Consider the following 21188-nt stretch of genomic DNA (forward strand, 5'->3'; position numbering starts at 1 on the left):
CAGAGGTAGGAGAAAATATTGAGCCCCGCACAGGCTTGGCATTGCTCCATGTGCTGTACCTGTGGTAACTCACTCCATCCTCATAGCCCGTCTAGGGGGTGGACAGTATCCTCTACCTTTACAGGTGAGAAGCCGAGCCACACAGAGGAAGAGAAAGAACGGAGCAAGGAACCATGCTCCTAACCAGGACAACACGGCTGCTGCTTCACAGCCTTGCCTCGTTTTTTTTTTTTGCTTGTTTGTTTGTCTGTTTGTTTGTTTTTTCTGTTTTTCCCGAGTAGAGTCTGGCTTTGTCGCTCAGGCTGAAGTGCAGTGGCACCATCTTGGCTCACTGCAACCTCCACCTCCCAGGTTCAAGCAATTCTCCTGCCTCAGCCTCCCAAGTAGCTGGGATTACAGGCGTGCACCACCATGCTCGGCTAATTTTTGTATTTTTAGTAGAGACGGGGTTTCACCATGTTGGCCAGGCTGGTCTCGAACTCCTGACCTCGTGATCCACCTGCCCTGGCCTTCCAAAGTGCTGGGATTACAGGTATGAGCCACCGCGCTGGCCAGCCTTGACTCTTATGTGTTCATTCATTAGAATTTTAGGGGAATTTTAGTAACATGGGGGAAAGAATATAAATGGAATATAGTGTAAATTGTAGCAAAAAATAAATGCAGAAGCAAAAGACTGGCAATGCACACCAACACATGAACAGAGCTAATCACCAGTTCATGCAACTACTGTGTGTTTTTATTAAATATTCTTCTGTGTCTTTCAAGTTTTCATCAATGAACTCGTATTGATTTTATGATAATAGCGGAATTCCTATGTTTGAGACAGAATGGAACCATGGCAGCCTGAGGTCTGAACTTGCCAGAGTGTGGGAGTATCTGCAAACTGCAGCATGCCCGTCTGTGCTTGCTGAAGCCTGACCCCCACAGCCAGAAAAGTTCTGACACTGAGGGCCGGGCGCGGTAGATCATGTCTGTAATCCCAGCACTTTGGGAGGCCGAGGTGGGTGGATCAAGTGGATCAGCCTGGCCAACATGGTGAAACCCCGTCTCTACTAAAAATACAAAAATTCACAGGGCGTGGTGGTGCACACCTGTAATCCCAGCTACTCGGGAGGCTGAGGCAGGAGAATCACTTGAACCTGGGAGGCAGAGGTTGCAGTAAGCCAAGGTCGCGCTCCAGCCTGGGTAACAGAGCAAGACTCTGTCTCAAAAAAAAAGTCCTGACACCTTGAATGGTGCTGGGAAAACTGGCTATCCACGTGCAGAAGAATGAAATTAGACCCTTATCTCACACATATATAAAAATCAACTCAAAATGCATGAAAAACTTAAATGTGAGACCAGAAACTATAAAACTACTAGAAAAAAAAACATAGAAGGAAAGCTTTAAGACACTGGATTGGGCAATGATTTTTTTTTGGTATGATCCCCAAAACACAGGCAACAAAAACAAAAACAGACAAATGGGACTGCACCAAAACTAAAAACTCTGCACATCCAAGGAACCATCAACGGAGTGAAGAGACAACCTACGGAATGGAATCCCATATTTACAAGCCATTTATCTGATAAGCGGTTAATATCCAAAATAAATAAACAACTCAAGTAACTCAACAGCAGGAAAACAAATAACCCAATTAAAAAATGGGCAAAGGATCTGAATAGATGTTTCTCCTTTAGATGGCCAACAGGTCTATGAAAAAGGGCTCAACATCACTAATCATTAGGGAAATGCAAATCAAAGCCACAAGGAGATATCACGTCAAACCTGTGAGAATGGCTATTAGCAAAAATATGAGCAATAACAAGTGCTGGTAAGGATGTGGAGAAAAGGGAACCCTTGTATGCTGTTGGTGACAATGTAAATTATTCCGGCCATTACAGAAAACAATATGGAAGCTCCTTTAAAAATTAAACAGAGAACTACCATATGATCCAGCAGTCCCACTACTGGGTATACTGTTAACCCTTGAACAACGTGGGTTTCAACTGCACAGGTCCACTAATACATAGATTTTTTCCCACCTCTGCCACCCCTGCTACAGCATGACCAACCCCTCCTCTCCCTCCTCCTCAGCCTACTCAACGTGAAGACGATGAGGATGAAGACCTTTATGATGATCCACTTCCACTTAATGAATGGTAAATAGATTTTTTTCTTCCATATGATTTTCTTTTCCTTTTTTTTTTTTTTTTTTTTTTGAGACGCAGTCTTGCTCTGTTGCCAGGCTGGAGTGCAATGGTGCGGTCTCGGCTCACTGCAACATCCACCTCCTGGGTTCAAGCAATTCTCCTGCCTCAGCCTCCTAAGTAGCTGGGATTACAGGCACACACCACCATGCCTGGCTAATTTTTGTACTTTTAGTAGAGATGGGGGGTTTCACCATGTTAGCTGGGCTGGTCTTGAACTCTTGACCTCGTGATCCACCTGCCTCACCCTCTCAAAGTGCTGGGATTATAGGCGTGAGCCACCGCACCCAGCATTTTTTTTTCTTTTTTTGAGACGGCATCTCACTCTGTTACCCAGGCTAGAGTGCAGTGGCTTGATCTCGGCTCACTGCAACCTCCGCCTCCCAGGTTCAAGCAATTCTCTGCCTCAGCCTCCTGAGTAGCTGGGATTACAGGCACCCATCACCACGCTCGGCTAATTTTTCTGTATTTTTAGTAGAGACAGGGTTTCACCAAGTTGGCCAGGCTGGTCTCGAACTCCTGACCTCGTGATCCACCTGCCTCAGCCTCCCAAAGTGCTGGGATTACAGGCATAAGCCACCTTCACAACATTTTTCTCTGGCTTACTTCATTGTAAGAATAGAGTATATAATACAGATAACATACAAAATATATGCCAATTGACTACATTATCAGTAAGACTTCTGGTCAACAGCAGGCTATTAATAGTTAAGTTTCTGTGGAGTCAAAAGTTATATACGGATTTTTGATGGCACAAGGGGTCAGTGCCCCTAACCCTCATGCTGTTCAAGGGTCCATTATAGATCCAAAGGAAATAAAATCAGTATGTTGAAAAGATACCCAGAGCATTATTCAAAACAGCCAAGAGATGGGATCAACCTAAGTGTCCATCAACAGAAGAATGGATAAAGAAAATGTGGCAGATATACACAATGGAATATTAGCCTTAAAAATGAAGAAAATCCTGTCATTTGCAACAACATGGATAAACCTGGAGAACATTATGTTAAGGGAAATAAATCAAGCACAGAAAGACAAATTCCACGTGATCTCACTTACAAGTAGAATCTTAAAAAGTTAAACTCAAAGAAACCAAGAGCAGAATGGTGGTTACCAGACGCTGGGGAGTTGGGGACGTCGGGGAGGTATTGGTTAAAGGATACCAAATTTCATTTAGAAGGAACACGTTCAAGAGACCTATTGCATACCGTGGTGACTAAAGTTAATAAAAATACATTATATACCTGAAAATTGCTAAAAGAGTAGATTTTAAATTTCTAACCACACAAAATGGTAAGTATGTGACATCATCTGTATGTTAGATTTAGCCATTCCACACGTGTATATATATATATATATAAACATCATGATGCATACCATAAATATGTACAATTTTCATCAATTAAAAAAAATAAATTTTAAAAACAAAATAAAGTCATTGACACCTGGCAAGGATTGACAAATCATAGCTCAGGTAAAGGAAGGGTAAACAAATTAAACAAAGCTTGTATGTGAAATAGTGAAACCTTAAGAAATCTCTATACCCTTCCATATTTTTAATTATTGTGGTAAAATACACATAAAACTGACCATTTAAGCCATTTTTGAGTGCACAGTTCAGTGGCATTAAGTCCATTCACTTTGTTGTATCAACCATCATCACCATCCACCTCCAGAACCTGCATCTTCCCAAACTGAAACTCTGTCCTCACTAAGCACTAACTCCCCGCTTTCCTCCCCCAAGCACCTGGCACGCACCATTCCACTTTCTGTCTCTCTGAATCAGGCTACTCTAGGGACCACTAAGAAGTGGACTCATACAGCATTTGTCCTTTCACATCTGGCTTATTTCACTGAACATAATGTCCTCAAGGTTCATCCACGTTATAGCCTATGTCAGAATGTCCTTGCTTTCTCTTTTTTTTTTTTTTTTTGAGATGGAGTCTCACTTTGTCACCCAAGCTGGAGTGCACTGGCGTGATCTCGGCTCACTGCAACCTCCGCCTCCCAGGTTCAAGCGATTCTCCTGCCTCAGCCTCCTAAGTAGCTGGGATTACAGGTGCATGCCAACACACCTGGCCAATTTTTTTGTATATTTAGTAGAGATGGGGTTTCACCATGTTGGCAAGGCTGGTCTCGAACTCCTGACCTCATGATCCGCCCACCTTGGCCTCCCAAAGTGCTGGGATTATAAGCGCGAGCCACGGCACCCGGCCTAGAATGTCCTCACTTTCTATGGCTGAATTCTATTCCACCGCGTGGACGAGCCACAGTTTATTGATCTATTCGCCCATCAGTGGGCCCTTGGGTTCCTTCCACATTTCAGCAGTTATGAAAAATGTTGCTATGGTCATGGCCATACAAATACGATGCTGTTTTTCACTTCTAATTTACATGTACTATTTCTGTCATGTCCATTTCTGAAATTGTATTTATTAAAAGGATTACAATTGAATTACCTACCGTGTAAGGCCACTTTTCTGGCAATATGAAGTTTTTTTAAAGATGGAGTCTTGCTATTTCCACAGCCCCGCTTCCTCCACTCCCTGTCCAGACCAGCCCTGAACATTCCACTCCTCTCTGAACTGGGAAAGTATCAAAAACACCATACAGAAACCACCCAGCCACAAAGGGATGAAGTCTCTATTTGCCACAAATAGAGAGGGTGCTCACCGCCTGGGAAGGCACTTCCAAAGCAGCGGGCTCCAGGAGGGCAGGCCCACGGCTCTCTGCACCTCAGCTCCCAAGAGTATAAAATGGGCACTGGAGCACCTGCCGCAGGGCCCTCCCAGCTCTCCAGGCTGTGCCAGTCTCAGCATCCCGCACCGCTGCCATGGGCTTCCTCCTGCAACCCCAGTACTTTCCAGTGACTTCCTCACACTACTTACAAGGATTATCTAACAGCGTGGCTCCAGGACTGACGAGGGTATGCAGGAAGGAGAGCTCTCCTATGCTGCTGGGGCAGAGAAAACCGGGAACAGCACTTTGGTGACTGACTCAGGAATACTTGGTCAAGCTGAAGTATGCACACCAGTGACCCGCCAGGCTCATGCCTGCCCTTGGGGTCCTCCGGTGCTTGTCTGAGGAGTCGGGAGGCGGTGAACAGACACAATCGCTGCAGCACTGTCTGTGCGGACTGAGCATCCCGAATCCGAACATCCCAAATCTGAAACGCTCCAAAATCTGAAACTTTTTGAGGGCCAATGTGATGCTCGAAGGAAATGCTCACTGGAGTATTTTGGATTCGAGATGCTTGACTAGTAAAAAAATAATACAAATATTCAAAAATCCAAAAAAAGATCTGATACCCGAAACACTCCTGGCCCCAAGAATTTCAGGTAAGGGATACTCAACCTGTACTTTCAAAAAAGAGAAAATAATTTCATTATCCAGCAACAGGAGATGGGTAAGTGAGCTCGGGTTCATCTGGAATCCTGAATTATAGTTGAAGCAAAATGAACTACAAAGAAAAGAACTACAAAAACCAACCTGGAGAAGTCTCAAAATTACGGTGATCTACATAGAGAAAGCTTGTTGCAAAAGTGTACATAAAAAATGGTAAAAATGTTAAACACACAAATACCCCAGCTGTCACAGGGATACGTAAGAGGTGGGGTGAAGGGGCTGGCAGCACTCTCCTCAGTCTGGGGCCACACAGGCGTCCCCTCCTTGCTGCCTGCTAAATGGTACCCACATACCTAACTTGATAATAAAATGCAGACGGAGCCATAAAGATCATACAGCAACACAGGTAACATATAAACACAGGTTGAAAATGAAGGAAGAGCAGCCCAACTTTACAAGAACAGTCATCACTGTAGGTAGGAAGAGGAGGAATGGAGGATGGAACTTCATTATAGATGATGCTTTCCAAAATAGATTCTTTATATACACATATGGGAAATGTACATGTGAGTTATGGGGAAGGCGGGAAGCACTGCTTCCTTCTTTTCCCTCCTAAAGTGAGACCATACCATCATGTCTAACTGCAACTCTAGACTGTAAGTTACAAATCAGTGCATTCAGCAGCCAACAAGAATATACTGTATTTCTCCATGTGGAGCTGGCCTTTGGATTTGCTAGTTATGCTGAACATAACTGGCAAATAAACCATTTTTATTAATGGGGAAAATTCAGAGCCCAAGAGTAAGAAATATATAATGATAATAATAATAATAATAATAACAACAGCAACAATAATATAATAAGTACAAGGGTAAGATTTGTATTGAAGAGAAAATTTCAGCTGGTCATGGAGAGTCACATCTATAATCCCAGCACTTTGGGAGGCTGAGGTGGGAGGATCACTTGAAACTAAGAGGAGGTCAAAACCAGCTTAGGCAACATAGCAAGACCCCATCTCTGCAAAAAAAAGAAATTAAAAAATTAGCCAGGCACGGTGACACGTGCCTGTAGTCCCAGCTACTCAGGAGGCTAAGGCAGGAGGATCATTTGGGCCCAGAAGTTTGAGGGTACAGTAAGCTGATGCCCCTGCACTCCAGCCTGGGCAACAGAGCGAGATCCCATCCCTAAAACAATACAAAACAAAGCCAAAAAAGAGAGAGAGAAAATGTCTTAGGACTTATTACAGAAGCTTTTATGCTTTATGCTATCTGACCAGTCTAGTAAGTGGAGCACATAAACTGTTAGCAACAGGAAAATGAATTCTACATAACATCTACATAGTTCATATACACATAAATATATGTACATAAATCTAGATATATCATAAATATATAAAGTCTACAACATGATGTGCATATTTGAGCAACAGATATCAGATGTCCTGAGATACAATTCACCTGTTGAAGCTATACAAATCAATGGTTTTAAATATATTCGCAGAGTTCTACAACTATCACCACCATCAGTTCTAGAACATTTCATCACCCCAACATGAAACCTTCAACCCATCAGCAGTTACTCTCCATTTTCCCCCAAGAGTCCCTCACCCAGGCCTTGGCAACACGAATCTCCTTTGTGTCTCTGCAGGTTTATCTATTCTGGATGGTTCATATAAATGGAACCACACAATATGAGGTTTTTGTGTCCAGCTTTTTCTACTTGACACGGTATTTTCAGGGTTCATCCGCACCGGAGCGAGTGTCAGAATCTCGCTCCTTTTGAAGGCGGAATAACGTCCCATTATGTGGACGGATCACACTTTCTTCATCTACCCATCAGCTGATGGGCCAGATGGTTGTTTTGATTTTTTTCCTAGTGTAAGGGTTCCGCATTTTCAATGATTCTAAACAAAGCAAACTCCCCGTCCCCGGCATCAAGTTCACCTCTTCCTGCAGGGAATGGGCTCCTGGGCTCACCTTCTCCTCCGCCGACCTGAGCACGCTGGAGACCTCCTGCACCACCAGCTCCAGTGCCTGCTGCCGCGGGTCCTCCTCAAAGGACAGGAAAGGTGGGCCCTGGAACAGAGGGGCAGCATGAGGAGGGCATGCACAGGAGGGGCTGCATCTTTTAAATTACATATCTGTTTAAAGTTCTGAAAAATTAAGAAAATGTACTAACACATCTTTCTGTGAACTCTGTGCTTCTAATAGCAGCAATGGCTAAATATCAGGAGCTCTGCACATCCAAGGAGCAGCTGGTGATGGATTGTGCTCAGTGGGCAGGATTCAGTTATGGGAGAAGGCTGGGAAAGGACAGGAACCCGGGAGTAAACCTGAAGATGCTGCAGGAAGGCAGCGAAGGGTGTTTTGAATCTTCCTGCTGACAGCATAAGGAAAGAAACAGACTCTTGGGGCAGGGCTGCTTCGTGCAAATCAGAGGATCTGTGGGTCTAGCGGCGCACCTCGCCCAGCACAGAGGGCTCCAGGCTGTGTCCTCCCTGTTGCTAGGGACAGTCCTCTATTCTGGTCTAGGAGAGGCACCTCTCCTGTTGCGTGTGGTTGCTGTGGTACGATTACTTAGGGTGCCCCCCATTCTCCTCTCCTACCCCCCAGGGGCTGGCCTCTCCCTGGGATCTGAGAGGGTGGCCAAGATTCCTTGGCTGGAAATGAACCCGCCTGGTGGCTGCCCACAGAGTAGACTCCTCAACCCCTACTTCACAGCCCTCTGGAGCCACCTGGCCCCAAGGTTCACCTGTGCCCGTGGCTCTGCATGTTCCCCCAGCATCCTTCCAGGAAACTCGGTCAGCTCATGTCTGTTCTGGTTCTTCCAGTTAAAAATCTCCAAGCAAAGCCAGGCATGGTGGCTCACACCGGTAATCCCAGTACTTTGGGAGGCCAAGGTGGAAGGATTGCTCAAGGCCAGCAGTTCGAGACCAGCCTGGCCAACACGGTGAAACCCTGCCTCTACCAAAAATACAAATATTAGCTGGGTGTGGTGGCACACGTGTAATCCCAGCTACTCAGGAAGCTGAGGCATGACAATCACTTGCACCCAGGAGGTGGAGGTTGTATTCAGCTGAGATCACACTCCAGCCTGGGCGACAGAGTAAGGCCCTGTCTCAAAAAGAAAAAAAAAATTCTCCAAACGAGAGACGCACAATTAAATGAACAGGACCACAAGGCAACAAGGCCAACGTTTTATGACGAAGAACCCAGGGCTTATGTGACCAACCAAGTCTTGTCCAAGTCTTGTCTAGCTCTCGAGAGGCCAAACGTGTACATCAACAACACAATCCCAGATCGAAACTCTCCTAGAACTCTGTTCCTGACATGCTGTAGAAAGCACACCGTGTTTCAATGAGCTCCGACTGGGTGGTTAAAAAACACACAGCCCCACAAGCTCCCATCGTATCTCATCTCCACCGTGGTGAGCTAGGTCCAGCTACAAGGCGTGACCGAGGGTGGGAGAGGGGAAGCGGTGTAAAACCTTGCCGTGGCGATTCCAGCAAGCATGGTGCAAGTGAGCAAGCGATGAGGTTACGCTGTGGCTATTTCTCAAGAATGCCCAATGACCCGCGTAAACCTAAAGGGGACAGAACATTTTGATTTATAGGCTTCTAACCTCACCCTTTTCTTACACTGTCTATCTCATCCCCCAAAAATCAGCAGAGAATTAAATGTACTGCTCGAGAGGGCTGAAATCACAGTTTCAGGGCTGCTCTGCTGGCATTCTCTGTGGTGGGAGCTTGTTTGAGTGGGACCTGCTGGCCAGGGCCACGCTCTGAGCTTGGTGATGAGACGGTTCTGTGCACCAGGCTCTCTGGCCTGAGAGAACAGAACCCAGCACAGAGGCCAGTGCCAGGCAGAGAACCATGAGCAGGCAACATGCCAGCCGCTCGGAGGATGCAGCGGAGAAACAATGTACCTTCTGTAGGAGCCTAAAGATACGCTGTTGCCTTATACCAGCCTGGGTGCAGACTCATGCTCCCCTGAGGCGGCAGATGCAGTGTTTACCCTCTTCCCTTGCTACCTTCTGAATTCAAACCTTGAAAAGAGTTTGCAGCCGGGTGCCACGGCTCACGCCTGTAACCCCAGCACTTTGGGAGGCCGAGGCGGACGGATCACGAGGTCAGGCGATCGAGACCATCCTGGCTAACATGGTGAAACCCCGTCCCTATTAAAAATACACACACACAAAAAAAATTAGCCAGGCGTGGTGGCAGGTGCCTGTAATCCCAGCTACTCGGGAGGCTGAGGCAGGAGAATGGCATGAACCCGGGAGGCAGACCTTGCAGTGAGCCGAGATCATGCCACTGCACTTGAGCCTGGGCGACAGAGCGAGACTCTGCCTCAAAAAAAAAAAAAAAAAAAAAGAAAAGAAAAGAGTTTGCTGGAAAACTTAAGGTCAAGGGATGGTCTCACAAAGAAAATAAGTTATTAAGAGAGATTGCTTTTCCTTTTCTGATCTGCCTAGTCCTTGAGTTTCAGGAGCAGGGTGTGCCTGCCTGCCACACACAACCACAAATTCAGGTATCTCTGCATCTCTGCTGCTGTGTCAATGCTGACAGAACCCTCATTCCAGACCCCACTCCACTTAGACTAAAGGAAGACTTTGTGTCCACATAGAAAAAGAAACACACAAGAATTGCCAGGAAAACACTGAAAAAGGAAGACAAGGGTGACTAGCTCCACCAGATATTAAAACAGACTATAGAAACCCCGTAATTAAAACTGTGTGGCTCTGGTGCACCAACAAACACATGCACTACGAATGAACAATATAACCACACTGAAGGGGATGGGAAAAACACGGATATAACCTAAGAAGCTTGGAAAACTGCATCTTGACTGCATATAAATGCTATAATCCAGTAAATGTGTTTCATAGGTTGGGAACTCAGAAACTACTTCATGCATATACTAGAACTGAACACATAAGTAGTAAGTAAATAAGACAGCAGGTGTGCAATGTCTTACTCTTGGAGAAGGGAGTTAAGAATAAGAAAGTGAAAAAACTAAAATGAACTCTGTACCGTTGGACTAGAACCCAAGGTACAGGATACAATCACGGTTTTTCAGATAAACACAGAGAGAAATACACAGAAATATAGACATGCGCACACACGTTGGTATACACACGTATGTTTGCTATTGCTGAACACTGAAGGGGAGCAATGAGAACCAAGAGGTAATGAACACACTTAATGCCTAGGTCTTGGTTTCTAAACACTTCTCCAATAAAAGGAATCAGGGCTGCTTGAAGAAGTGGCTGAATCCAGGGCCTGTGGGGAGCCAAAAACAAATATTTTGTGGAAACATGAAGTAAGGAAATGAAAAAAAAAAAAAGTGGGCTTGATGGAAGAACACAAGAGGCTACTCTCAAAGGAGCACCCTGATGGCCCAAAGGAGAACAACCTAAGCAACTGATTCGGTTTGGCTCTGTTTGTAACCACCATGTGTCAAGAGAGGGACCTGTAATCCTCACCTGCAGAGGGAGGGAGGTAACTGGATCATGGGGCAGTCTCTCCCATACTGTTCTCATATAGTGAGTTCTCACAAGATCTGATGCTTTTCTAAGTGTTTGGAAGTTCCTCCTTCCTTCTTCCCTCTCCTGCCGCCTTATGAAGAAGGTGACGGCTTTCCCTACCATCATGATTGTAAGTTTCCTGAGGCTTCCCCAGCCATGTGGAACTGTGAGTCATTAAATGTCTTTCCTTTATCAATTACCCACTCTCAGGGAAGTCCTTTAGAGCAGTGTGAAAACAGACTGATACAACAATATAATAAATAGTGATAGTATGGGATTATAACCCACAGAATAAAATCCATATCCATGAGTCCATATTGAGCTAAACAATCAGATAAATATCTCATTGGAGGAGAAATGACAGTTCTGTCTTGCGGGAGAGTTCCAAATAATAAAGACAGTAAGGAAGAGGAAACAGAAAGTCACCATCAAGAGAACTGCACCTGCGCCATCACTGCACACAAGATACACCAATGGTTGCGAAATCAGTGAGGAAGAGTTTAAGGAGCAACGGGCTCTGTACAGGCTCAAAGCATCTCCCCACACTACCTGTTAACTACAGCAGGAAAGATAAAGGAGGTGACATGATGTGGATCTGTGTCCCTGCCCAAATCTCATGTCGAATTTTAATCTCCAGTGTTACCAGATGGGCCCGGTGGGAGGTGACTGGATCACGGTGCGGGGAGTTCTCATGAATGGCCTAGCACCATCTCCCCTTGGTGCTGTACAGTGAGTGAGTTCTCATGAGATCTGGTTGTTTAAAAGTGTGTAGCACCTCCCGCCTCTTTCTCCCCCTCCTGCTCTGGGTCATAGAAGATGACCTTCACCTTCCACCAGGATTGTAAGTTTCCTGAGGCCTCCGCAGAAGCAGAACCTGCTATACTTCCTGGACAGCAGAACCATCAGCCAATTAAACCTCATTTCTTATAAACCACCAGTCTTTCTGGCATTTCTTTCTGGCAATGCAAGAAGGGACTAATACAGGAGGAGACATAAAATACAAGAGGATGACCCCAGCAGAAGTCACCTTAACCAAGGCACCAAGCTCAGCATCCTCTACAACAAGACACGCTGACATCACAAGCCCCAGACACAGTGCACACCACTTCTGTGGTTTGTGTAATCTCGCTCCAACCATATGAAAATGCCAGGCAAATGGAAAGACAGTCAGCAAAATAATGATCAACAGTCTTTAGTTATCAAGGTCATAAAAAACAAAGAAAGACTGAGAAACCCTGACAGACTGCAGGTGATGAAGAAGGAACAACTCAACGCCACAGGTACCCTTAATGGGACCCTAGAACAATACAAGGAGACAGGTGGAAAACTGGTGAAATTCAAAGAAGGCCTTCGCTTTTGTTGTTAGGCATTGTGACAATGTTAATTTCTTTTTCTTTCTTTCTTTCCTTTCTCTTTTCTCTCTCTCTCTCTCTCTCTCTCTCTCCCTCCCTCCCTCCCTCCCTCTCTCCTTCTTTTTTGAGACGGAGTTTCACTCTTGTTGCCCAGGCTGGAGTGCAATGGCGCGATCTCGGCTCACTGCAACCTCTGCCTCCTGGGTTCAAGCAATTCTCCTGCCTCAGCATCCCGAGTAGCTGGGATTATAGGCATGCACCACCACGCCCAGCTAATTTTGTAATTTTAGTAGAGATGGGGTTTCTCCATGTTGGTCAGGCTGGTCTTGAACTCTTGACCTCAGGTGATCCGCCCGCCTCAGTCTCCCAAAGTGCTGGGATTACAGGCGTGAGCCACTGCGCCTGGCCTAATTTCTTGAACTATTACATTGCATTAATCTCCTTGTGTTATGAATCATAGTAACATGCCACCAATGTTAATTTCTTGGTTCTGATCATTGAGCTGTGGTTATGCAAGGTTGAGTGAGGAATATATGAAAGTTGAATTATTTTTTCAACTTTTCTGTGAAAGCAGTTCAAAATAAAAAGTTTAAAAAATAAGACTTTAAAGAGAGCAGCCCACCTTTATTGTCTCACTATGTCCCAGGCATTTTGCTAAATGTCTCACACAGATCTGATCTCACCTCTAGGAGAGTGGATTTTGTTTTCTGGATTGAATCCAGTTTTCCCTTCTGCAGATGATGCACAGAGACTCTCCCAGGATCGCACAGCTAGGAGGGTAGAGCTGGAGCACAAAGCAAACCCGCAACCAGCTCCAGAGCTTCCCCACGGGCCCTTCCACGGGCTGAAGAAGTGCCTTCCCTCCTCAGCAACCTACCAGGGGCCCGCGGGAGTGGAAGTTAGCGTTGGGGGAATTTTAGTTGATGTGAACGCTACACCCACACTTTCCTGAATCCCTGTCTTGTTGGGAGAATGGGTTAGTGCAAAGAACAAACTGAACTGGCGCCTATTCCTGGGTTTGGCATTGATGACTTGCAAAGTCATCAGAGCCTCCTTTAATGTTGATGCTTTAGAAGTGAAAAACAAAGCACATTAAACAGCTTGTTTTGCCCAGGCCTGGCTGGCTCCCAAGACAGAAGGCCTGAGTCCAGATGGGGGAATGGGCATCACCACTGTTTCTCCTCCTCCAGAGGCCCATGATTCACCCCACTGAGACCAGGGCCTGCCCCGAGCCGGCTTTGTGCTGGGCACTGGGTCTGGCTCTGCCCAGACAGCCCCTGGCTCTGCCCCAGCTCACAATGCCGGGAGCTGACCAGGGCATAAGTGACTCCGGGGGGGTCGGGAGGAGGGCAGGGCGGGGAGCATCTTGGCTGAAGGGGAGGATCAGGGACCTCTGAGCTGAGACCCAAAAGATTTAGAGAAGTTAAATAAGCAGGAAAAAAGATAAGAATTCCAAACAAAAGGAATGACCCGTGGGAAGGCCCACACAGGAAAGGTCCCTGGACACTGGAGCAACAGAAGGGGTCACGGTGGAGGGTGCAGGGTTCACAGCCCCAAAGAGGCCCAAGTTCCTTCTACTGGAGGAGGGAAGGGCAGCTCCATGGTCCTTCCCCACAGTGGTCACCACAGTTCTACCAACTGGCTTCCTACACCACAGCCACTGTCATTGGTCAAGGAGTTTGGACTTCGTGAGCACAACTGGAAGGTCATTATATAATGCAAAGACTCTGAAGTCTGGTGGCCACTTTGTTTACTTTTTAAATGCAGAAACTCCTATTCAAGTCAGTGCTATTAATAATATGTTCCAAGTCCACACAGCATCTTTTTTTTTTTTTTTTTTTTTTCTTTTTTTTTACAAAGACCATAATGATCATAGTCTTGATCATTTGCAATTAGAACATACCTCTAAAGAAACCCTGGGCTGAAGGACTAAAGAAACAAACAGCGTTGGGGACCCTCCTAGTCCGGGGCCTCATCCCACTCAGGTGGGCCGCTACCAGACAAGCCCAGAGCACAGGCCACGGAACACAGGCCTCGCTTCGGGACAGGTGCTGCCCACACATGGTCCAGACAGCATCAGCCTTGGGAGGAGTTCTGGGCAGCCCACGGGCAGCGGCCATCAGAGGCAAGCATGCTGGATCCCAGAGTCGAGGAGACTGTAGGACAGCAGTCCCGGAGACTCCCAAGGGGATGTTGGGGGTGTAACTGATTATCATGGACCACTTTGTAAATATTGATGTAATCGCAGGGGAGCAAAAGGAAAAGCTCAACTGCTGCTTTTGGATACCATAATATTAGTTCTCAGTCTAAGGAGCCTGACCTGAGACTGAGCCAGTTCTGGGATCTTCTGTTCTGTGTGACCAAAGAGTGATCACATCAATGGGAATTAGGGGTCTGCAACACCACACCAAGTGGAGAGGCAAGAGTCAAAGCTCAAACAATTGCTTTTACGTGGTGCTGGGTGAAAGAGGAACTCTATTTACACTGTTGGTGGGAGTGTAAATTAGTTCAACCATTGTGGAAGACAGTGTGACGATTCCTCAAGGATCTAGAACTACAAATACCATTTGACCCAGCGATCCCATTACTGGGTATATATCCAAAGGATTATAAATCATGCTACTATAAAGACACATGCACACATGTTTATTGCAGCATTATTCCCAATAGCAAAGACTTGGAACCAACCCAAATGCCCATCAATGATAGACTGGATTAAGAAAATGTGGCACATATACACCATGGAATACTATGCAGCCATAAAAAAGGATGAGTTCATGTCCTTTGCAGGGACATGGATGAAGCTGAAAACTATCACTCTAAGCAAAGTATCACAAGGACAGAAAACCAAACACCGCATGTTCTCACTCATAGGTGGGAGTTGAACAATGAGAACACATGGACACAGGGCGGGCAACATCACACACCAGGGCCTGTCAGGGACTGGGCGGCTGGGGAAGGGATAGCACTAGGACAAATACCTAATGTAAATGACAAGTTGATGGGTGCAGCAAACCAACATGGCACACGTATACCTATGTAACAACCTGCACGTTGTGCACATGTACCCTAGAACTTAAAGTATCATAATAAAAAAAAAAAGGAAAAAAAAGAAAGAGGAACTCTGATGGATGGCAAGTGTGTACTAGCAGCTTCTCACCAGTGATTCTCAACCATGGGACACTCTCAAAGTGTGCTCCCCAAGCCTACTGAGGCGGATGTGGGGGGCAGGCACGTGTGTCACTAAGCTCTCTGGGCAAGACTCCTGTGATCCCTGCACACCTGGCGTCCACCTGGCCAGCAGGCAGATCAGCAATGGTTTCCTCCAAAGTCAGTGCAAATCACTGTCACATATAATTTAGACCCCTTTCTGGAGTGAGGGTGGGAATCCGAGGTCCCCTGCAATACGGGGAGTCAGTGCTGCTGCAGTGGTCATCAGAGAGCAGGAGGACTCCTCCGGTGCTGACCAGTCCTTGGATCCTGGAAGGTGCGAGCCCCACTGTTTGGGATAACACATTAACAACTCTACTCTCTGAGCTCTTCTCGCTGGCTCTCATTTAAAGGAAACATTTAGGTCTCCAAGTTGATACTGCATCCCACCAGGGAACAGGCTGCAGCCACCAATGCGCAGACCTTGGCAAATTCCTCCAGTTCACGGGCCTCAGTCTCCCCTTCTGGAGAAGGGGCTTGGCTAGAAGAGTTTAGGGTTTCTTTCCATCTTAAAATACAAAGGTGGGGTAAAACTTGGAATGGGAGGAGTTATTGTCTCAATTGGACAGAAAATTCCACTTTTCAGACAGAATGCTGGACATGATTAAGTTATTACCAGTGTCTTCTCAATCCCTAAGCGACAGGCCAAGAACTGGTCTCCTCCCTGGGTAGGACAGAGTGATATCAGGACAAGGCAGAGGCAGGAGGGGGAGCACTAAGCTGTAGCTGTCCAGGCGAGAGCGGGCTTGGAGTGTCAGCCCTAATCCGGGATTAGTGGGAATGGAGGTGGGGGAGGGCAGCCACGAATGGACACAGCAGCCCCTGCTCTCCCACACCGCCATCACTGTCACAACAGCGATGGCCCAGGATGCTGGGATGTGTGTGACAATCGCTGGACTCGGGGCGGCCAGGAATGCAAACACCACTACCTGCTCACCCACAATGCCATCACTGACACGGCAGCGACGGCTCAGGATGCCGGGAGGGTGTGTGACCGTCACTCACAGGGAGCCCAGTCACCCAGATCCTATCTGCCTGCAAAACCTTCCATTTGAATGCAAATCAAATGACATTCCCAGGCATCAGGGCTGTGTTCCCCCACCCCCGTCCCCAGGAAAGTAAGCAATACCAAAAACTGACATCACAGAACTAATGGACTATGTCCATGCAAAAATGCCAGAGATGGCCCTGGGTTGCTTTGAGCATGAATCCGGGACACTGTTGCCTCTTCCAGGCAGGAGGTCAGGAGAGACAGGTGTCTGAGACTGCAGTGTGTGGCCAACAGCAGAGAGAGAACAGAGAAGGCGCAAACAAGGTGAGACCCTCTCTCCTCTCCCTGAACGCAACCCCTCCCTGCTCCCACACAAAGACTCAAGTAAAAAGTTTTCATCCAAAACTTTCAAATATTTCTTTCAGTGTTCTCAGATTGACTTGACCAGCCTAAGACAGATGCCAGGGACATCCTCTTCTCTGCCTCTCAACACTTCAGTCAGATGGGAATATGGAAGGATCATATCCAAGAGGATCATATTTTCTGAAGCCAATCCATAGATGTCAGGAAACGAACCATCCCAAATATACAGGAGGTAGGGTCACTGCCTCTAAGCCTGAAACTCCAGAGTTAGAAGCTGAACTTAAAGGTCATTCACCCAACACTTGCCTGCCTCCTACAAAGGACACAGATGAGACTGGTGCCCAATCAAGCCACCAGCCTGGAGGGGACTCAGCCTCAGAAGCCTTGATTCCAGGTCAGTCAGGGGTCAGTGATGGCAGCTTCCTGGGGAAATACCTGCATTTGCTCCTGGATGTGAGGCCAACAGGGGTGGAGGGCTCCCACAAGAGACAGCTGGTTTCCCTGAGACACTCTCCAGCTCTGGACAGCTGAGGCACAGATTCTGGGCACCAGGACAAAAGTCAGTCAACTGACCCTGAAGCCTTTTTCCTCCAAAAAGTACAGTCATTTATGTTCTTTTTCAAGAGTTCAAAACAAGGTCTCTTGATTTGTTGGATGGCTGCTAACTGATAGTCAAAGCTTTTTTGTTTTTTAATTCCATGGCCATGTCTTCCAAGGCCATGCACAAGGACCAGGCACAGGGCCCGCCATGGAATATTTTGAAGGTTGATGGGGCCGGACATTGAAAATGAGCAATTCTGCTATTTCCACAGCGAATGACCACTGAGCTGCACAGGCATGTGCAGGAAACTGTGGCCTGGAAGGGCGGAGCAGCGGCCAAGACTAGGGGTGCCTCCCCAAACCCACCCAGGCTCCAACTTCTCCTGTGAAATGCCTAAGAATAGTACATGCCAGGAGCTTGTCGTTATACTAAGATGTCTTAAAAGCAAAAATAAGTCAACGAGTAATCAGCGACTACAGAAACACCCACAGGACTGTGAGGCAGCAGAGGTAAGACACGAGGCCCTTAGCTTGCAGGCCAGGGCAGCTGGATTCACATGCCAGCTCTGCCGCCCACGAGCTGTGTGGCACTGGGCAGGCTGCTTGCCCTCTCCGGGCCTTGGTTTCCTCATCTGTAAAACAGTGATAACACCCCTGTCCCGGGAGTTGTGAGGATTCAGAGATGGCAGACGCACCGAAAGCCTCGGTAGGATGTCTGCCCAGCGGCTGGCCCTCAGCAAACGGTCACTATTTTTATATGCCAAGAAATGCAAGTCTTTGGAGATAAATTCTTGGTGAAATTCAGCTCTATGAGAGGCGGAAGCACATTGGGGTCACAGCTATTCATGTATCATGTGCAAGCTCAGTAAGTGTCCGATCGGGCACGGGAATTCGCCCCGGGACTCCAGGCAAGGCAGGTACTGGCTGGCGCGGATGAGCACTTCTGACGGTCCCTCCAACTGCCAGCCTGTCCCTCGCGGAGCCCAGGGCCTGGAGCACCTGCCGTTTGGAGAATAAAATCAATCACTTTGTCTTGTCTCTCCGTCAAGGGGCCTCGCTCCCCCGTCTCTCTCCTAACTCTCGAGGATGGTCTGCGCTGGGGGGAGGACTCCCTTAGCCTGGGTCAGGGGCTGCAGCGACGCCTCCAGGAAAGACCTCGGCCCGGACCGCCCGCCCCGGCATCTGCCGCCCCCCGGCCCGCAGTCCCGGAAACTCACCCCTTTCCTCTCGGCCTCCTCGTTCAGGGCGGTCACCCAGGCCGCCTGCCACTGGCTCCTCCAGCTGCCCAGCGTCAGGATCCAGGAGAGCAGCGCGTCGGACCCCGGGCGCGGCCCCTCTCCAGGCTCCACCGCCCGCCGCTGGGGCTGGGGTCGCGCCCTGGCCAGCGCCCACTGCGCCAGGTACAGGCCTACCGTGGCCAGGGCCGCGACGAAGAGCGACACCAGCGCGAGCCACTGCGCCTCCCCGAGCCACGAGCCCAGCCGGGCCATGGCCATGGCGCATCCCCGGCCCGCCTCGCCCCAACTTCCCCGGCAGCCCCGGGCCGGAACGGCGGACTCAGGACACGCGCTGGCTGCGGCCACAGCGCGCTGGGGGCGTGGAGGGGGCGCGGCGGGGTCGGAGCCCGGCGAGGAGCGTGGCCGGGGGCCTCTGGGCGGGCAAGCGGGGAGGAAACGCGCGGCGGCCGCGGCCCGGGCTGGGCGCAAGCCCCGCACACCTGCGGAACAGGGGCGCGAGCGGACCCCGCGGCCCGCGCTCCCGACTCGGCGTCTGGGAAGTTCCTGGGCCGCTGCGGGCCGCGCTTCCTCCTGCGCGCGCCGCCCCGGGCGTCCCGCCCGCGGCCCAGCGGTGGCCGGAGGAGGCTCTGGCCGCGGGGCGGGGCGGGGCGGGGGCGGTGCCCGAGGGAGGGGGCGCGGCCGGGCCTGCGGGGGCCGCAGTCCTCCCCCCTGCTCCCAACGCGGCGTGCCCCCGCCCCCCTAAAGGCCCGGCCTTCCCGGCCCCGCCACGTGCGCGCGTCGCCCGCCCCTCCGGCGCCTGCCCGCGGGCCGCGAGGTGACCCGGGCCTCCGGATTCATCAGCCCAACCCCGGCGGCTGCTGTGCGGCTGCTTGGCTTGGCTCGTGTGCGCGCTTGCACAAGTGCGTGTGTGTGCACATGTGTGAGTGTGCGTGTGCACAGCGCGCAGTCAGGGTGATTTCGAGGACTGCCATTTGCTCGCCAGCGAGACAGGATCCAGGCTCAGTCCTCGGAAAGTCCCTGGAAATCCGTGGCTGCCCCTGGAGCCAGGGGCTGGGCCTGCCTTAGGGGGCGTGCTTCTCAGAGGCAAGGAGGGGCTCAGCACCAGGCCCAGGCCCTGCCTTCTGTGTGGCTGTGTCATTCATTCAGTGTGCGGGTGGGGCGGGGGTGCATGTGGTGTGATGTGTGTGGCGCATGTGGTGTGATGTGTTGTGGGTGTGGTGTGTGGTGCACAGGATGGTGTGAGTGTGTATGTGTGGTGCATGGGTGTGGTGTGTGTGTAAGCGTGGTGCATGTGGTGTGGTATGTGTGTTGCGTGCCAGTGTGGTGCATGTGGTGTGTGTGATGTGTAAGCGTGGTGCATGTGGTGTGGTGCGTGTGTGGTGTGTCGGTGTGGTGCATGGGTGTGTGTACGTGTGATGTGTAAGTGCACAGCATGTGGTGTATGTGTGTGGTGTGTGGTGCACAGGATGGTGCGAGTGTGTATGGTGGTGCATGGGTGTGTATGTGTGATGTATAAGTGCAGTGTGTGTGGTGTGTGTGTGTGGTGTGTGTGTGTGATGTGTAAGCGTGGTGCATGTGGTGTGGTGCGTGTGTGGTGTCGGTGTGGTGCATGGGTGTGTGTACGTGTGATGTGTAAGTGCACAGCATGTGGTGTGTGTGTGTGGTGCATGTGGTGTGTGTGGTGTGTATGTGTGATGTGGTGTGGTGTATGTATGTGGTGTGTCAGTGTGGTGCGTGTGTGTGTGGTGCACAGGGTGATGTGAGCGTGTGTGTGTGGCACATGGGTGTGGTGTGGTGCTGTGTGTATATGTATTGTGTAAGTGCGTTGCATGTGGTGTGGTTTGTGTGTGTGGTGAACACGGTGGTGTGTGTATGTGTGGTACATGGATGTGGAGTGTGTGTATGTGTAATGTGTGAGTGCGGTGCATGTGGCGTGGTGTGTGGGTGGTGTGTCAGTGTGGTGCATGTGGTATGGTGTGTGTGTGTGTGGTGTGGTGTGTGGGACATGCCCCTGTGCCCTCCTCTTGCAGAGTGGACGCGGTCCTTAGGGAGTGCCATAGAAACATACTAGCCTGAGATTCTCCGGGGCCTAAAACAGGCCTAAACCATAAAAAAGTGATTCCCCTGTTATTTTCTGCAGCTGTATTAAGGGGACTTGACCTTGAAAGGAATTAGATAGACTGAGCATTTGGCCTTCTCTTCCCTAGCCAGGAGTCTGCTGCGGGGCCAGTGGATGGTCCATCAGAGGGGATTCTGGCCCTGAATCCGTGGGCCCGGATTTTCTTCAGGAAAGAGGAAGGAATGGCACAGCAGCTGGACGGAGAGCCTTTGTGGGGAACAGGATAGGACGCTGTCAGGGAGGTGAAATTAGACGGGGATTGCCCAGGTGAGCTGGGGATGGACCCTTGCGAGCCAGGTCTGTTATCAGAAAGT

At 49.1% G+C, this 21188-nt stretch overlaps 1 protein-coding gene and 1 non-coding gene across 4 annotated transcripts in view, besides 5 other annotated features; both read right to left on the bottom strand.

Moving 5' to 3' along the window:
- C2CD2 (C2 calcium dependent domain containing 2) overlaps nt 1–19383 on the bottom strand; it is a 68907-nt gene extending 49524 nt beyond the window's left edge. The window contains exons 1-2 of one of the 3 annotated variants that reach the window (NM_015500.2): nt 18735–19383; nt 7512–7610 (exon numbers count right to left, since the gene is read on the bottom strand). In NM_015500.2, coding sequence (NP_056315.1) covers nt 7512–7610; nt 18735–19013 — 378 coding nt within the window. In that variant the 5' untranslated portion in view covers nt 19014–19383. Of the gene's footprint in view, nt 1–7478; nt 7611–17412; nt 18516–18734 lie in introns of those variants that run through there. The other 2 variants (XM_011529522.3, XM_011529523.3) reach the window with 2 other exon arrangements.
- Nucleotides 9571–10071: an enhancer, noted in NCBI's record as "H3K4me1 hESC enhancer chr21:43364315-43364815 (GRCh37/hg19 assembly coordinates)". NCBI's record gives its function as "activates a minimal SCP1, AML or CMV promoter by ChIP-STARR-seq in naive H9 embryonic stem cells {active_cell/tissue: H9 hESC(naive)}" and the evidence as "EXISTENCE:reporter gene assay evidence [ECO:0000049][PMID:30033119]".
- On the bottom strand, nt 13470–13647 carry SNORA91 (small nucleolar RNA, H/ACA box 91). The gene has a single exon (NR_132773.1). It is a non-coding gene; the product is annotated as a small nucleolar RNA, H/ACA box 91 (small nucleolar RNA).
- Nucleotides 15971–16476: an enhancer, noted in NCBI's record as "H3K4me1 hESC enhancer chr21:43370715-43371220 (GRCh37/hg19 assembly coordinates)". NCBI's record gives its function as "activates a minimal SCP1, AML or CMV promoter by ChIP-STARR-seq in naive and primed H9 embryonic stem cells {active_cell/tissue: H9 hESC(naive and primed)}" and the evidence as "EXISTENCE:reporter gene assay evidence [ECO:0000049][PMID:30033119]".
- Nucleotides 18355–19129: an enhancer, noted in NCBI's record as "H3K27ac-H3K4me1 hESC enhancer chr21:43373099-43373873 (GRCh37/hg19 assembly coordinates)". NCBI's record gives its function as "activates a minimal SCP1, AML or CMV promoter by ChIP-STARR-seq in naive H9 embryonic stem cells {active_cell/tissue: H9 hESC(naive)}" and the evidence as "EXISTENCE:reporter gene assay evidence [ECO:0000049][PMID:30033119]".
- Nucleotides 18355–19675: a biological region, named in NCBI's record as "H3K27ac-H3K4me1 hESC enhancer GRCh37_chr21:43373099-43373873".
- Nucleotides 19006–19675: a silencer, noted in NCBI's record as "silent region_13334". NCBI's record gives its function as "represses an Ori minimal core promoter by ATAC-STARR-seq in GM12878 lymphoblastoid cells {active_cell/tissue: GM12878}" and the evidence as "EXISTENCE:reporter gene assay evidence [ECO:0000049][PMID:35858748]".

This window comes from Homo sapiens, chromosome 21 (assembly GCF_000001405.40).
Source record: "Homo sapiens chromosome 21, GRCh38.p14 Primary Assembly".
Classification (NCBI taxonomy): Eukaryota; Metazoa; Chordata; class Mammalia; order Primates; family Hominidae; genus Homo; species Homo sapiens.